Source organism: Homo sapiens, chromosome 9 (assembly GCF_000001405.40).
Source record: "Homo sapiens chromosome 9, GRCh38.p14 Primary Assembly".
Taxonomy (NCBI): domain Eukaryota; kingdom Metazoa; phylum Chordata; class Mammalia; order Primates; family Hominidae; genus Homo; species Homo sapiens.
The window spans coordinates 20,095,766-20,113,759 of NC_000009.12; the positions used below are offsets into that span (position 1 = coordinate 20,095,766).

The following is a 17,994-nucleotide window of genomic DNA, read 5'->3' on the forward strand; positions in this document are numbered from 1 at the left end:
AAAAAGAGTTTTAATGGACTCACATTTCCATGTGGCTGGGGAGGCCTCACAAGCATGGTGGAAGGCGAAAGGCAAGTCTTATATGGCAGCAGACAAAAGAGAATTGAGAATCGAGCAAAAGGGGAAACCCCTTATAAAATCATCAGATCTTGTGAGACTTATTCACTATCATGAGAACAGTATGGGGGAAACCACCTCCATGATTCAATTATTTCCCACTGGGTCCCTTCCACAACATGTGGAATTATGGGAGCTACAATTGAAGATGAGATGTAGGTGGGAACACAGCCAAACCATATCTGTATCCATCCATCCATCCATCCGTCCGTCCGTCCGTCCGTCCGTCCGTCCGTCCGTCCATCCTATTGATTCTTCTATGGAGAACCCTAAAACAGAATCCTTAGTAATTTTTAAGAGTATAATAGCATTGTGAGACCAAAAATTTGAAAACTGTTGTTATAGAGTATGCAACCTTGTATCATAGTATTACCAGGTATCACACAAAGTGAGTCTCTTTTTATTTACTTTAACTCAATGAGCCACCTTAATCTATAACTCATTCTTTCTCTCAGGAATATCTTCTTATATGTATCACTGATTATTGATTTAGTCTCCTATAGGGACACTAATTATCCACATGTTATTGACTCTCCTTTCCCTGTTCTCCATGTCAATTATCTTTCCTGTCATCGGTTTTTTCTTTTTACTTTTCTGTATGTTTCAATTCTGTTATACTAATCTTTCTATATTTTATACATCTCTCATTGCAATTATTTCTATTGCCTTTTTATCTTGGCATTTTATCTCTGAATCTCTTTCTGTTTCATAGAGGCAATGGGTTCTACTTCTCTATTGCTCATTCCAAATAATTTCCTGGTTGTTTCTTCTGGATTTTACAAGAAAACATTATTTTAGAAAGATACTTTTCTTCTCAGTTTTTTCTTACATTGGAGTTTTATTTCTTTGGCTTGGATTGAATATTCTTTTTTTTAATGTTTCTCTTTGTTAATCCTTTAGTTGGGAAATTCTTTACAAATTTTTTTGTTATCGTTCTGTTGTTTTGTTTCATTTTGTTTTCAGAAAGCACTGTGGTTTGGTGAGGTAATTTTGGCTCTGTTACTGCCTCTTGTGTGGTGATTCGTCTTTTTCCCAAATCTACACTTGGAAGGCAGAATGACATGCACTGAATTCTAATCCAATTCCCAATGACTTTCACCTAGTTCAAACTTACTAAAGAAGTAACTTCTCTTTTCCCTACAACCTGATTTTCATCCACTGTAAATCAATATAATACATGATAAACAATTCTTGGCTTACACCTATAATAAATATTCCTCCAATGTCCACCCTACATCCTATACTTGGGGATTACAGCTATGAGAATTAGCTCTGCCACCACCATGATTCCCTACCTGCCTCTTGCCCAGTTCATTTTGTTGGCCTCTATCTCTGTAGATATAATAGGATGATTGGGAGCAAAGCTGATGGACAGAGTACTCCAATTGCCCGATAATTCATCATATCTTGAGGTGAATTCTGAGTAACTTGTTTTTAATACCCTTCAACCTGCTTTATATTATAGTCAGCAAAGATTCACCACCAGACAGTGGCATTGAGTTATCTAACAAATTTAGTCTTCAGTATTGATATGAGTCTTTCTCTTTCTTCTATATCTTTAAAAATACTGTAGTTGGATGTTGGGAGTCAATTTAATGAAGACTAATAGACACTAATAGTCACTTTGAGATCTCTGGTGATATTAAACCAGTCTCTAAGTTCTTATAACTCTGAACCCTATGACATGAGTTCTCCTACTGAGAATACAAATCAAACTTCTTACAGGTTGGACTGGGTATCTGATTCTCCCTTTAAGGTCACTAAGACAGTCCCAATGTGGTTGCTGACCAAGTAGAATAATGTCCAGATTGGATCCAGGGTTTCAGAATCTTAAATAATTTTTTTTTTTTTTTTTTTTTTTTTTTTTTTTTTTTTTTTGAGACGGAGTCTTGCTCTGTCACCCAGGCTGGAGTGCAGTGGCGCGATCTCGACTCACTGCAAGCTCCGCCTCCCGGGTTTACGCCATTCTCCTGCCTCAGACTCCCGAGTAGCTGGGACTACAGGCGCTCGACACCACGCCGGGCTAATTTTTTGTATTTTTAGTAGAGACGGGGTTTCACCATGTTAGCCAGTATGGTCTCGATCTCCTGACCTCGTGATTCGCCCGCCTCGGCCTCCCAAAGTGCTGGGATTACAGGCGGAGCCACCGCGCCTGGCCCGAATCTTAAATAATCTTAAGAAGATGGTACCAGGTATAAAGTATATATAAAGTATAAAAGCTGGGGGAAAAGACTCAAGGGTCAAAGTAGAGAAGGTTACTTAGCTATCAGGTTCTGAAAATAATCAAAGGAACAGATATGACTAATAACTGACTAATAACACTCAAGGTCATTCATTTAACAACATTTATTCATAAATATTCATTGATATCAGACTATATTACTAGTGCTCAAGGCAAGGAAATGTAGAACTCAAACAGGAATCCATAATAAGATGAGTGGGGAGGTCTAGAACTTTTGTTAGAAATAAGGCTATGATGCCCAAACTCTTTTCAGGTGCTGGGTTTTTTGATTTCAAAGAAATAGAATCAAGATAGATACTAAGAAATACTTCTATGGCATTATATACTTCTTATCTTTCCATTTGATCTCCTTTCATTACCCTCTAGGCCCAAACCAAAGGAGCCATGTTGTCCTTTTGACCAAAGAGGAAACTGGCCTTATGCTCCAAACATAAGAAACTCAGCATTAGGCCTAAGAGACCTAAAGGCCTTTGGTCAGCTTCCCAAAGATACTAACTGGCCACTTCCCCTTTGTCCCTGAAGTGGAAGGAAACATTCAGACCCATCATATCCCTTTAACAAGCATGCCAGGTTATAAGCCTGTATGCAAGTGATTTCTGGAGAATCCATGTTTCACTTGTGACTGTCTCTTTGTAAAACACAGGACGAAGGGAAAGATATGGTTAAATCCAAGTCAAGCTCCTTTAGGGAAAAATCTCTCACAGTTTCTTTACTGGTACAATGAGTAACTCTGGTCTAGTATTTTCAGAGGTGTTCCTAGCTCATTCTCTTAGCTGTTCTGCCACTGATTTTAGACCCTGCTCTCCTTTCAAAGTATTGATTTAGGATATACACAACTTACTGAAAAGAAAGCCAGCAAAGGAATAAAAGCTTTAAAACACATCATTATGCAGATGGTAATGTATTTGCTGCCTCCACTGCCAACAGAACAAAAAGATAAAGGTACATGTAGCAGCAGACAAATTTAGCTTAGTCACTGGAGGAAACTAGACATTACCCATCAAAGCATGATAATAACATGGCATAGGTTTCCCAAGGGAGATTGTATAGCTTCTTTAGTAGGCTTTTGAAAGAAATGGTTGACAATGATATTTCTTGAAACATGTTAATATAGTTCTATCCAGAGATAGGAGAAAGTACTTGATAATGTCCCCTGCCTATCCCTTGCCATTTGACGATTACAAATCATATAACTGTAATAACTCATTCATCTGGAAAAGGGCACTTACCTTTATTTCCTTCTTCTTTAGGCAACAAAACCATTACCTTTTCTGAACTGAAATCTGCTCACAGGTTGCTTTTTGGTACTGACTTTTCTCTTTGTTCACCAGACTGATGAAAATGTGTATATCCTATACGTTCTTATAGTTGTAATGAAATCCCTGAGCTCTTCCTTCAAAAACAATTTTTAACAAAAAAAAAGTAGGTTCCAGGAGGATAAAAGGAAGACAGATTGTTTTGTGCTTGTATTAAAGGCCAGGCTCTAAACACTTCCCAAAAATCCTTTTCAGGCTCCTTCCAGGGGATGACCAAACATCAACCCTACATAAAACAATCAGAGATTCAAGCTATAGTTTTTCCTGCCTCCAAAGTAGACTAACAAGACTTAACTGCACTTCCTAGGTACCTCAATTCTATAACTTGTTCCATTTTATTTTGTAGAAAATAGCTGCAATACATAAGGCCTTGGTAATGGTAGAATGTCAATAAGGATTTTTTTTCTCCAGCCCCCTTCTACTGAAATATGCCCAAATCCCACCACTCATGGGAATTTCACAAGTCTCCTTTAATAACCACTCACCCATGAGCATTTCATGAAGACTTTTTGTGTCATGCTGACTATTTTTATTACTCTCTCTTATTATGAGGCTTATATCCTTTTCTTCTCCTATTCATCTTTTTTTTTCTTTTTTAGACAGGGTCTCATTCTGTCACCCAGGCTGGAGTGCAGTGGTGCAATTGACAGCCTCGTCCTCCTGGGCTCAGGTGATCCTCCCACGTCAGCTTCCCTGCCATAGCTGGGATGGCAGGCGCATGCCACTTGGCTAACTTTTTGTGTGTGTGTGTGTGTTTTTGTTTGTTTTTTTTGTTTTTTTGTTTTGTTTTGTTTTGTTTTTGTAGAGACAGGGTTTTGCCATGTCGCCCAGGCTGGTCTTGGACTTCCAGGCTCAAGCCATACACCCACCTTGGCCTTCCAGAGTGCTGGCATTACAAGCATAAGTCCCTATGCCTGGCCTCCTACTCACCTTTTAGTTCTCAGCTTAAATATCTCTTTCTCAGGCAAGACTTCCCAGATGTTCCATATTAGGTTAGATACACTTACTACACAACTATATACATCTGAACCCAGGTGCATTTCTCTTGCACATTTCTCATCATAAGTGCAGATATTTGTACAAGGTCTGCTTCTCATTAGACATTAAGTTCATGAAGATGGAAGGCTTTCATCAAGTTCACTACTCTATTTCCAGTATCTAACACAGTGTCTGACACTTAGTGTTCAACAAATGCTTTAAATTATGTAATTCATTAATAAATTTTGAATATTCCAATGCTACTACTGATAAGAAAGTTAAAAATATTTATTTTTACTACAACAGATTCAAGTTGTCAGTCTGAATATTTCATTTCACAGTATTTATTTAAATTCCTTCTACACTGATTATTTTCTCTTTTTAAGGATAGCTTCTGGTTTTTTGTTTTGTTTTTTCCATCCTCCTACTACCTGACCCCCTGGCCCTTTTATCTTGGAAAGAAGCAAATTTCTTACAGACATTTTCTTCCTACAGGTATTGTGGTCTCTCCAGAAGCAGACTTAACAACAGGTATAAATACACAGTGGTAACTTGTGCAAGTAGGCAAGGCTAACCTTCCTTGAAACTATGGTCTCATTTCCAGAATTTTGCGGAAACCCTGCCTTCACCCCCACATCTTTCTGGTGATGATAATTCCATTAGCAAGTGGAGTGCTGAATTTCACAATCAGAAATGTGGTTTTAAATATAAATCCTAGCAAGATAAATTGTAATTTTATTTAAATTTCATTTAAGGTCTCAGTGACTTCTCATCTGCTTTTCTGTAAATATGTCTGAAGGTCGGCAACGATGCCCTGGGCAGGCAGAGCCAAGGCAGATGCTGGAGGAATAGAAGTGCCCCTGCATCAACATTTTGCTGAGAATTGGACTTACTATTCAAGTGTAACCCTCAGAGCCTTTGTTCAGTACCTTGCTGTAGTGCAATAACATGAGAAGCTGCCATGAAAAAGTGCTGGTACTTTCTATATAGTGTCTATTAGTGGAAACTGTTTGCCTTGGGGCAGATCTTTGTTTTCAGAAGACTTATTAAAACAGCCTCCTTAGTTAAGAAATATTAATATATAGACATTAATTGTTCTTGTAGAATAGTATGAGAGAACTTTTGTGGCTTCCTAAAGGCTGCCCCACCCATACCTCTTGGAAGACTAAACTCAGACATCTCTGGGGTGGGCAAATTTACAAACCAAGGAGGCCAAGGAGTTTCCGGGGAGAAAAGGAATGGAGACCTGACCTTTCCCTTTGGGAAAGTAAGGACATTATAACTGCTGATGACTTCAAATGGTATCAACTCAGGTCTGAAAAAAATGTTTTTTTTAAGGAAAAGAAAAAAGAAAGATACCAAGAACTGCCACTGAGGAACTTACCTTAAGGGAAGGGAGGGTACCAGTATAAAGAAGTGATCCCAATGGAAACTGTGCCCTTACCATTGAAAGCCTGCCTAAAGATTCACAAACACTGGAGCCTAGGCCTAAAGTGACATGGGACAAACACGTCTGAGCTTAACAGTGGAGAGAAAGATCTCTTTTTTCTCTTTCAGTGTTCCTAGGAGCCTCCTTTATACCGAAGGACAGAGACAGTATCATTCTGTGCAAGCTCTTGTGTTTACAATGAAACACCCTGTGGTAGCCACAAAAACAACATGATCAAACCTTGGGTACTCACCCATGGCCAGATCAGAGTCCCTAGTTCTCCCTATTTCTATAAAGAGTTGGAGCCTAAACCTACCTTCTGTAGATTGAGTAAGCCCATGGAGAACTAAGGTTTCTGGGGTAAAAAGTGTCCTAAGAGAGAGACTAGATTTTCTACTAATCTAGGCAGAGATATGAGTAAACAAAATGTGGCACATATACACCACAGAATACTATGCAGCCATAAAAAAAAGTAAGAGATCATGTCCTTTGCAGGGACATGGATGAAGCTGGAAACCATCATTCTCAGCAAATTAACACAGGAACAAAAAACCACACACTGCATGTTCCCACTCCTAAGTGGGAGTTGAACATTGAGAACACATAGACACAGGGAGGTGAACATCACACACTGGGGCCTGTGAGGGGGTGGGGGGGGAAGGGGACACACAGCATAAGGAGAAATACCTAATGTAGATGACGGGTTGATGGGTGCAGCAAACCACCATGGTACATGTAAACCTTTGAAACAAACCTGCACATTCTGCACATGTATCCCAGAACTTAAAGTATAATAATACTTTTTAAAATGCACTGCAAAAAAAAAGACATTTCCAAAAAAAAAAAGAAAATATAAATAAGACTGGCAGCCAAGATGGCCGAATAGGAACAGCTCCGGTCTACAGCTCCCAGCATGAGCGACACAGAAGACGGGTGATTTCTGCATTTCCATCTCAGGTACTGAGTTCATCTCACTAGGGAGTGCCAGACAGTGGGCGCAGGACAGTAGGTGCAGTGCACCGTGCGCCAGCAGAAGCAGAGCAAGGCATTGCCTCACTCTGGAAGCTCAAGGGATCAGGGAGTTCCCTTTCCTAGTCAAAGAAAGGGGTGACAGACGGTACCTGGAAAACTGGGTCACTCCCACCCTAATACTGCGCTTTTCCGATGGGCTTAAAAAACGGTGCACCAGGAGATTATATCCCACGCCTGGCTTGGAGTGTCCTACGCCCACGGAGTCTCACTGACTGCTAGCAAAGCAGTCTGAGATCAAACTGCAAGGTGGCAGCCAGGCTGAGGGAGGGGCACCCACCATTGCCCAGGCTTGCTTAGGTAAACAAAGCAACTGGGAAGCTCAAACTGGGTGGAGCCCACCACAGCTCAAGGAGGCCTGCCTGCCTCTGTAAGCTCCACCTCTGGGGGCAGGGCACAGACAAACAAAAAGGCAGCAGTAACCTCTGCAGACTTAAAAGTCCCTGTCTGACAGCTTTGAAGAGAGCATGGTTCTCCCAGCATGCAGCTGGAGATCTGAGAACAGGCAGACTGCCTCCTCAAGTGGGTCCCTGACCCCTGACCCCCGAGCAGCCTAACTGGGAGGCACCCCCCAGCAGGGGCAGACTGACACCTCACATGGCCAGGTACTCCTTTCAGACAAAACTTCCAGAGGAACGAGCAGACAACAGCATTCGTGGTTTATGAAAATCCACTGTTCTGCAGCCACCGCTGCTGATTCCCAGGCAAACAGGGTCTGGAGTGGACCTCCAGCAAACTCCAAGAGACCTGGAGCTGAGGGTCCTGTCTGTTAGAAGGAAAACTAACAAACAGAAAGGACATCCACACAAAAAACCCACCTGTACATCACCATCATCAAAGACCAAAAGTAGATAAAACCACAAACATGGGGAAAAAACAGAACAGAAAAACTGGAAACTCTAAAAAGCAGAGCGCCCCTCCTCCTCCAAAGGAACGCAGTTCCTCACCAGCAACGGAACAAAGCTGGATGGAGAATGACTTTGACGAGTTGAGAGAAGAAGGCTTCAGACGATCAAACTACTCCAAGCTACAGGAGGAAATTCAAACCAAAGGCAAAGAAGTTAAAAACTTTAAAAAAAATTTAGAAGAATGTATAACTAGAATAACCAAAACAGAGAAGTGCTTAAAGGAGCTGATGGAGCTGAAAGCCAAGGCTCAAGAACTACATGAAGAATGCAGAAGCCTCAGCAGCCGATGCGATCAACTGGAAGAAAGGGTATCAGTGATGGAAGATGAAATGAATGAAATGAAGTGAGAAGGGAAGTTTAGAGAAAAAATAATAAAAAGAAATGAACAAAGCCTCCAAGAAATATGGGACTATGTGAAAAGACCAAATCTACATCTGATTGGTGTACCTGAAAGTGATGGGGAGAATGGAACCAAGTTGGAAAACACTCTGCTAGATATTATCCAGGAGACCTTTCCCAATCTAGCAAGGCAGGCCAACATTCACATTCAGGAAATACAGAGAACGCCACAAAGATACTCCTCGAGAAGAGCAACTCCAAGACACATAATTGTCAGATTCACCAAAGTTGAAATGAAGGAAAAAATGTTAAGGGCAGTCAGAGAGAAAGGTCGGGTTACCCACAAAGGGAAGCCCATCAGACTAACAGTGGATCTCTCAGCAGAAACGCTACAAGCCAGAAGAGAGTGGGGGCCAATATTCAGCATTCTTAAAGAAAAGAACTTTCAACCCAGAATTTCATATCCAGCCAAACTAAGCTTCATAAGTGAAGGAGAAATAAAATACTTTACAGACAAGCAAATGCTGAGAGATTTTGTCACCACCAGGCCTGCCCTAAAAGAGCTCCTGAAGGAAGCACTAAACATGGAAAGGAACAACCAGTACCAGCCACTGCAAAATCATGCCAAATTGTAAAGACCATCAAGGCTAGGAAGAAACTGCATCAACTAACTAGCAAAATAACCAGCTAACATCATAATGACAGGATCAAACTCACACATAACAATATTAACTTTAAATGTAAATGGACTAAATGCTCCAATTAAAAGACACACTGGCAAACTGGATAAAGAGTCAAGACCCACCAGTGTGCTGTATTCAGGAAACCCATCTCATGTGCAGAGACACACATAGGCTCAAAATAAAAGAACGGAGGAAGATCTACCAAGCAAATGGAAAACAAAAAAAGGTAGGGGTTGCAATCCTATTCTCTGATAAAACAGACTTTAAACCAACAAAGATCAAAAGAGACAAAGAAGGCCATTACATAATGGTAAAGGGATCAATTCAACAAGAAGAGCTAACTATCTTAAATATATATGCACCCAATACAGGAGCACCCAGATTCATAAAGCAAGTCCTGAGTTACCTACAAAGAGACTTAGACTCCCACACAATAATAATGGGAGACTTTAACACCCCATTGTCAACATTAGACAGATCAACGAGACAGAAAGTCAACAAGGATACCCAGGAATCGAACTCAGCTTTGCACCAAGCGGACCTAATAGACATCTACAGAACTCTCCACCCCAAATCAACAGAATATACATTTTTTTCAGCACCACACCACACCTATTCCAAAATTGACCACATACTTGGAAGTAAAGCTCTCCTCAGCAAATGTAAAAGAACAGAAATTATAACAAACTGTCTCTCAGACCACAGTGCAATCAAACTAGAACTCAGGATTAAGAATCTCACTCAAAACCACTCAACTACATGGAAACTGAACAACCTGCTCCTGAATGACTACTGGGTACATAATGAAATGAAGGCAGAAATAAAGATGTTCTTTGAAACCAATGAGAACAAAGACACAACATACCAGAATCTCCGGGACGCATTCAAAGCAGTGTGTAGAGGGAAATTTATAGCACTAAATGCCCACAAGAGAAAGCAGGAAAGATCCAAAATTGACACCCTAACATCACAATTAAAAGAACTAAAAAGCAAGAGCAAACACATTCAAAAGCTAGCAGAAGGCAAGAAGTAACTAAAATCAGAGCAGAACTGAAGGAAATAGAGACACAAAAAATCCTTCAAAAAATTAATGAATCCAGGAGCTGGTTTTTTGAAAGGATCAACAAAATTGATAAACCGCTGGCAAGACTAATAAAGAAGAAAAGAGAGAAGAATCAAATAGACGCAATAAAAAATGATAAAGGGAATATCACCACTGATCCCACAGAAATACAAACTACCATCAGAGAATACTACAAACACCTCTACGCAAATGAACTAGAAAATCTAGAAGAAATGGATAAATTCCTTGACACTTACACCCTCCCAAGACTAAACCAGGAAGAAGTTGAATCTCTGAATAGACCAATAACAGGATCTGAAATTGTGGCAATAATCAATAGCTTACCAACCAAAAAGAGTCCAGGAACAGATGGATTCACAGCCGAATTCTACCAGAGGTACAAGGAGGAGCCAGTACCATTCCTTCTGAAACTATTCCAATCAATAGAAAAAGAGGGAATACTCCCTAACTCATTTGATGAGGCCAGCATCATCGTGATACCAAAGCCGGGCAGAGACACAACCAAAAAAGAGAATTTTAGACCAATATCCTTGATGAACGTTGATGCAAAAATCCTCAATAAAATACTGGCAAACCGAATCCAGCAGCACATCAAAAAGCTTATCTACCATGATCAAGTGGGCTTCATCCCTGGGATGCAAGGCTGGTTCAATACATGCAAATCAATAAATGTAATCCAGCATGTAAACAGAACCAAAGACAAAAACCACATGATTATCTCAATAGATGCAGAAAAGGCCTTTGACAAAATTCAACAACCCTTCATGCTAAAAACTCTCAATAAATTAGGTATTGATGGGACATATCTCAAAATAATAAGAGCTATCTATGACAAACCCACAGCCAATACCATACTGAATGGACAAAAACTGGAAGCATTCCCTTTGAAAACTGGCACAAGACAGGGATGCCCTCTCTCACCACTCCTATTCAACACAGTGTTGGAAGTTCTGGCCAGGGCAATTAGGCAGGAGAAGGAAATAAAGGGTATTCAATTAGGAAAAGAGGAAGTCAAATTGTCCCTGTTTGCAGACGACATGATTGTGTATCTAGAAAACCCCATTGTCTCAGCCAAAAATCTCCTTAAGCTGATAAGCAACTTCAGCAAAGTCTCAGGATACAAAATCAATGTACAAAAATCACAAGGATTCTTATACACCAATAACAGACAAACAGAGAGCCATGAGTGAATTCCCATTCACAATTGCTTCAAAGAGAATAAAATACCTAGGAATCCAACTTACAAGGGATGTGAAGGAGCTCTTCAAGGAGAACTACAAACCACTGCTCAGTGAAATAAAAGAGGATACAAAGAAATGGAAGAACATTCCATGCTCATGGGTAGGAAGAATCAATATCGTGAAAATGGCCATACTGTCCAAGGTAATTTATAGATTCAATGCCATCCCCATCAAGCTACCAATGACTTTCTTCACAGAATTGGAAAAAACTACTTTGAAGTTCATATGGAACCAAAAAAGAGCCCACATTGCCAAGTCAATCCTAAGCCAAAAGAACAAAGCTGGAGGCATCATGCTACCTGACTTCAAACTATACTACAAGGCTACAGTCACCAAAACAGCATGGTGCTGGTACCAAAACAGAGATATAGATCAATGGAACAGAACAGAACCCTCAGAAATAATGCCGCATATCTACAACTATCTGATCTTTGACAAACCTGAGAAAAACAAGCAATGGGGAAAGGATTCCCCATTTCATAAATGGTGCTGGGAAAACTGGCTAGCCATATGGAGAAAGCTGAAACTGGATCCCTTCCTTACACCTTATACAAAAATTAATTCAAGTTGGATTAAAGACTTAAATGTTAGACCTAAAACCATAAAAACCCTAAAAGAAAACCTAGGCATTACCATTCAGGACATAGGCATGGGCAAGGACTTCATGTCTAAAACACCAAAAGCAATGGCAACAAAAGCCAAAATTGACAAATGGGATCTAATTAACCTAAAGAGCTTCAGCACAGCAAAAGAAACTACCATCAGAGTGAACAGGCAACCTACAAAATGGGAGAAAATTTTCGCAACCTACTCATCTGACAAAGTTCACTGTAGATCCAGAATCTACAATGAACTCAAACAAATTTACAAGAAAAAAACAAACAACCCCATCAAAAAGTGGTTGAAGGACATGAACAGACACTTCACAAAAGAAGACATTTATACAGCCAAAAAACACATGAAAAAATGCTCACCATCGCTGGCCATCAGAGAAATGCAAATCAAACCACAATGAGATACCATCTCACACCAGTTAGAATGGCAATCATTAAAATTTCAGGAAACAACAGGTACTGGAGAGGATATGGAGAAATAGGAACACTTTTACACCGTTGATGGGACTGTAAACTAGTTCAACCATTGTGGAAGTCAGTGTGGCGATTCCTCAGGGATCTAAAACTAGAAATACCATTTGACCCAGCCATCCCATTACTGGGTATATACCCAAAGGACTATAAATCATGCTGCTATAAAGACACATGCACACGTATGTTTATTGCGGCACTATTCACAATAGCAAAGACTTGGAACCAACCCAAATGTCCAACAGTGATAGACTGGATTAAGAAAACTTGGCACATATACACCATGGAATACTATGCAGCCATCAACAATGATGAGTTCATGTCCTTTGTAGGGACATGGATGAAGTTGGAAATCATCATTCTCAGTAAACTATCGCAAGAACAAAAAACCAAACACTGCATATTCTCACTCATAGGTGGGAATTGAACAATGAGAACACATGGACACAGGAAGGGGAACATCACACTTTGGGGACTGTTGTCGGGTTGGGGGAGGGGGGAGGGATAGCATTAGGAGATATACCTAATGTTAAATGATGAGTTAATGGGTGCAGCACACCAGCATGGCACAAGTATACATATGTAACTAACCTGCACATTGTGCACATGTTCCCTAAAGCTTAAAGTATAGTAATAATAAAATTAAGAAAAAAGAAAACATAAATGAAAATAATTTTTAAAATAGTCATGTGCCATGTAAAAACATTTTAGTCAACAATAGAGCACATATACTGACAGTAGTCACATAAGATGATAATGCATATTTTAACTGTACCTTTTCCATGTTTAGATGTGTTTAGATAGGCAAATGCTTACCACTGTGTTACAACTGCCTTCAATATTCACTACAGTAACATGTTGTACAGACTTGTAGCCCAGGAGTGACAGAGTATTCCATACAGCCTAGGTGTGTAATAGGCTATACTGTCATCTAGGTTTGGGTACGTATACTCTCTGACGTTCACAGACAATGACAAAAAAGTCCCACATTTCTCAAAATTTATCCTTAAGTGATATATGACTATGTATGTAACCTCAAATCTAATGCAGACTAGTGAACGAGATTATGCAGAAAAAAATTAACATAGCAAGCCTGAGACTGCTACCCTCAGAAAGACCTGCTTGCAAGCTAAGCCCCTGGCTGGCATCTAGGGACTTGAATTTCAGGAATGTTTCCACGACCCTAACTGACAAGAGTGGTTCATTGTGCCTAAACTGCAAATGGCTTATGCCGAATACTTGCTTCCCTTCTGCAAGTCTCAAGCTTTAGTATATGCTAAGTAGAGAGTGTGTATGTGACCAGCCCCCAGTAAAAATCCTGGGTACTGAGTTCCTAATGAACATCCCTTGGGAGATGACAGTTCACATGTGTCATCACAACTTGTTTCTGGAGGAATTAAGTGTATCTTGCGTGAATACTGGGAAACTTTTGGAAACTTGCTCCTGGTTTCCTCTGGAGTTTGCCCATACACCTATTCCCTCTATTGATTTTGCTTTGGATCCCTTCATGGTCATAAATCATGGCCATGAGTACAACTACATGCTGAGTCCTGAGAGTCCTCCTAGGTAGTTACCAAACCCAAGGGCGTGGTCTAGAGGAACCCAACACACAAGGAGAGCACACAAATAATACCAATCAAATTTCTTTCAGTCATATGGGATGCCACTTTTTCAACTTGATTCTGGAATTTTAGCTGGATATTTCCATTAACATTTTTCTTTAAAGATTTCCTCATGTTTATGCAGTTATTGTCTTCTTTTTACACAAAGAAACTGTGTTCTTTTTTCTTACATATATACAGGGTTAATTTTTTATCATATTAAAGCTTTCTATTTCAACGTCAAGTAATCTGAACTGTAGGGATTTTAGAAGAAATCTAGTACTACTCACTCATTTCATGAAGAACCTGAGCCCACAGCGGAAGAAATTTAAGGCTTCAACTGGCTTTAAAAATGAGCCCTCTGGATATGTGGGGTTTTGTAAACCATTTAAACCCTAAACATAAGGTCACCATATTATAGAATTTTTAGTTGCTATATTAAAGCAAGAAAATAATTGACATGTAGTATATTTTATAGCAGGAAATTTTGCTTTTGCTCTGAAGTTGACCCAATTGTGTTAGGAATTCAAGAAAATCTGTTGATATGTGATATCAACAGTCTAAAAGCTTCTGTAAATAATCAAATCAACGCCAAAATAAAATCTCACCCAAAGTAGTCCAACTTCTTTCACTAAATGCACTTTTTTTTTTCACTCTTACACTAACTTAAGTGATTATAACAATCAAAGGCTGACTCTGTGTACTTTAATCATATTACAGTTTTACCAGTCTCCTCTTCCTTTTCTTGGTCTCCAAACTACAGGAAGGCAAGTCTTCTATGCCACCCAGAGTCAGTAAAAGTGTGGCTAAAAAGTACCTATTGTTACTAGATCTTCTCTTTGGTGAATTGTCTTGACTCTTATTGATATTAGAATTAAATTTTAAATTATTTTAAGGGAAGGAAAAAAATGTTGATCCAATGAAAATTCATTTTGCATCCAATCATTTGAAAAATTATAGTTTCATAGTGATCTTTCCTTCCTCTGGTTTTGAACAAGATTTATGAAAAACACAATACTATATTTCACCAATTCTAAGACTGAAATATGTTTTTATCAAATTTTAACATCTCTCAAATGAGGATCCATTTTACAATCAATGGCATGTCATAGGTTTAATTGGCAGCACTTTTTTTCTTGGTAGTATGTTTAAAAAATAGCATCTTATAAATATACTTGATCATAAGGTGAAATATGGTAGATATGTTTAAAGCACCTGTGAATTCAAGTAAAATGTGCTGCTGGATATCTTCCTGTCACCCTTCTAGCTTCACTTTCCCTTTTCCATCTTGCTAGTAGCCCTGGGAAGCTGACTTATGGTGGATGGCATCAACCTGGTTCCCTTGCCCTACTGCATTTGGTTCGATTTGGCAAATGGGAGGCACCGGTAGGAGTGGGAGAGCAGGAAGAGGGTGACAGAGACATATATTCCTATCCCTCACCCATTAGCTTCTACAGGGTCATGGAGGTTAGCCAGATCTCCCTACTGAATGCCCAGGCTTTGCTGTCAGTCCAGCTATCCCTCTCCAGGTGTTAACTGTTCTCTCTCCTTGCCTCTTGAGATCTAGGGTTAGTGCCCTCTCCAGGTGTTATTAGCCTAGAGGCACTGCACCGTCTCTTATTGCTTTTCTAAACAATGTCTGCATATTTATAAATAAGCCCTTTATTAATCTCTTCTCAAATTTCCAATTTGAATATGCCATCTGTTTCTACCAGGGCCCTAACTGATACAAAAGTGCTTTAATCCTTTCTTCTCATGGAGCAGCAGCATCTATATCAGCTGAGAGCTTGTTAGAAATGTAGACTCCTGGGCCCCTCCTAGACCTACTGAGACAGAATCTGCATCTTAATAGGTTCCCCAAAGGACTGGGATGGACATTAAAGTTTGAAAAGCACTGGTTTAACACATCAGTAGATGTAATAAAATCTAGCATCAGAATGTTAATGGCTTATTAAGAGACTATTATCTGGTCCCCATTGTCCACTGGGGGATGCTTCTCCAGCCCTTCTTTCATTATTTCAACCAAAAAGATTAAAAAAAATCTAAAATGAAAATGTTCTTGTTTGGAAAAGTTGAAGAATCTTGTGTAAAGATTTGTTGATTTTCATCTTCAAAATAATATCATTTTAAAATCAGTGAACATTTGGAAGAAACAGAGGAAAACCACGCTTCCAGATATAGTTTTGAATAATAACTAGGTCCACCTATGCCAAACACCATTAAGAAAATGAAAAAAAGTAGAGCTAACTGGACAAAAATCTTTGTCATATTGCATAAAATTATTGGTAATTGGAGCCTCATTTGTTAGCACTAAGCTATTCATATTGATTTTTCTATCTCTGCAAACTGGAAGTTTGGGACACAGAATGAAGAAATAATTGTAAACAAGATCTCTCTGCCTGAAGGAAAAAAAAGAACATTTCGTCAAAGTAAGAACACAATCCTCGATAATTTTCGACACTTGTCTGGCTGCAGAAAGCAAGGCCGAATCTGCAGGAGGCTTTAAAACCCTGTGAATTTGCTGGTCTGTTTAAAACACTTCACACATTATTCAAAGGAAAAATCAGATGTGCTATGTATGCAGATAGACTTAAAGCCTTCCTTCCAGGTTAAAGAAATTTATGGGAATGCAGTTTAAGTTATTCATCCTCTTTACCATAAAAGATTACCTCACTTTGCACCAGGTTTCTTGAAAATAATCTGAAACTTCCCCATATTAAAGGAAAAATGTTTGATTTATAGCTTGGGTTTAAACCTATAATGAGGCATTCCATTCTGAGTGATCTCATATACTCAAAGCAATAATAACCCCAGGGTGTCAGTGTACGGGAAGCCCTGCCTAGATGGACATTCTGTAGGGTCTGTGTCAGCCCTTTTTCTCCCTGCTCAGATTTGCTGGGGAGTGTGGTTCCTGGGGACCCGAGAGGTGGCTTGTCTGAAGGCGAATCACCTAATTTTTAGTGTGTCAATCTTGAACAGCCCCCATGACTTCTACCCTCACCAGCCACCCCCCACCTCCCCTGCCCTACCACCATCTTTCTTTTATCTAGTTGGTAGAGTACAAGAAAACAAAGTTAGGTCTCCCATCTCTGAACGTCAGACTAACAATCATGTGGTGAGAGACACACGGTTAGGGCTGGAAAAAACAAAGACACAAGTGAAGCAAGTAATTCTGGGTTCAACTTGTGGCTCTATTACATTAGCTGTTTGGCTAATGTGACATGCCTGGCAGCCACCCTACCATGAGCTCCATCCTCAGAGTTTTGGGGCATAGAACCCTCTTTTGCAATGCAGTATCTCCATGTCTTTTTGCTGATCTTTGGCCAAGTCATCTGGGGCTCTCCCCCAGGACTGGTCAAGAAATCACTCCAGGTCTTTCAAACCCCATAGTTCTAGGGAACCAGGCAGCATGGCATGGTGATGAAGAACAGACTCTATGCCCGCACTCCCTGGAGCCAAATCCTGGCTGCACCATTTACCAGCTGTGAAAAGTGACTTCAATTCTCTGTGCCTCCATTTCCTCAATGGAAACAGAATTATTACTGTTCACAGGACTGTTTGAGCATTAAATGATTAATAGTAAAAAGCACATAAAATAGTGCTTGGCAAGTAAAAGAGAGCTATTTATATTTGTTATGATGATGATTATTATGTTCATTAAAAGTAGATTGCCAGATAAATATCTTGACATGCTGAAACTTAGCTTCACTAGTTTTTAACTGAAATGTCCACTTTTTAAATTTTGGTTAATATTTCTATAATTATTCTATATTGGTTATAAAAATTTGTAAAATATGGCATTATTAACATTTTGGTATATTTGCTTTCAAGTCATTTTTTTTCTCTGAACACGTTGTGAAATGCATACATATGTGTATCCATTATATTAAACAGCATATATATACTCTTGCCTTTTGCCTATTTTCAATTATTCTTCATAAA

At 39.5% G+C, this 17,994-nt stretch overlaps 1 protein-coding gene across 1 annotated transcript in view, besides 1 other annotated feature; it reads right to left on the minus strand.

The window, feature by feature from the left end:
- The window catches only part of SLC24A2 (solute carrier family 24 member 2), an 800,438-nt gene that overhangs the window by 588,311 nt on the left and 194,133 nt on the right, over positions 1 to 17,994 (minus strand). The gene's annotated exons all lie outside the window — the stretch shown is intronic.
- Positions 15,443 to 16,193: an enhancer, noted in NCBI's record as "OCT4-NANOG hESC enhancer chr9:20111206-20111956 (GRCh37/hg19 assembly coordinates)". NCBI's record gives its function as "activates a minimal SCP1, AML or CMV promoter by ChIP-STARR-seq in naive H9 embryonic stem cells {active_cell/tissue: H9 hESC(naive)}" and the evidence as "EXISTENCE:reporter gene assay evidence [ECO:0000049][PMID:30033119]".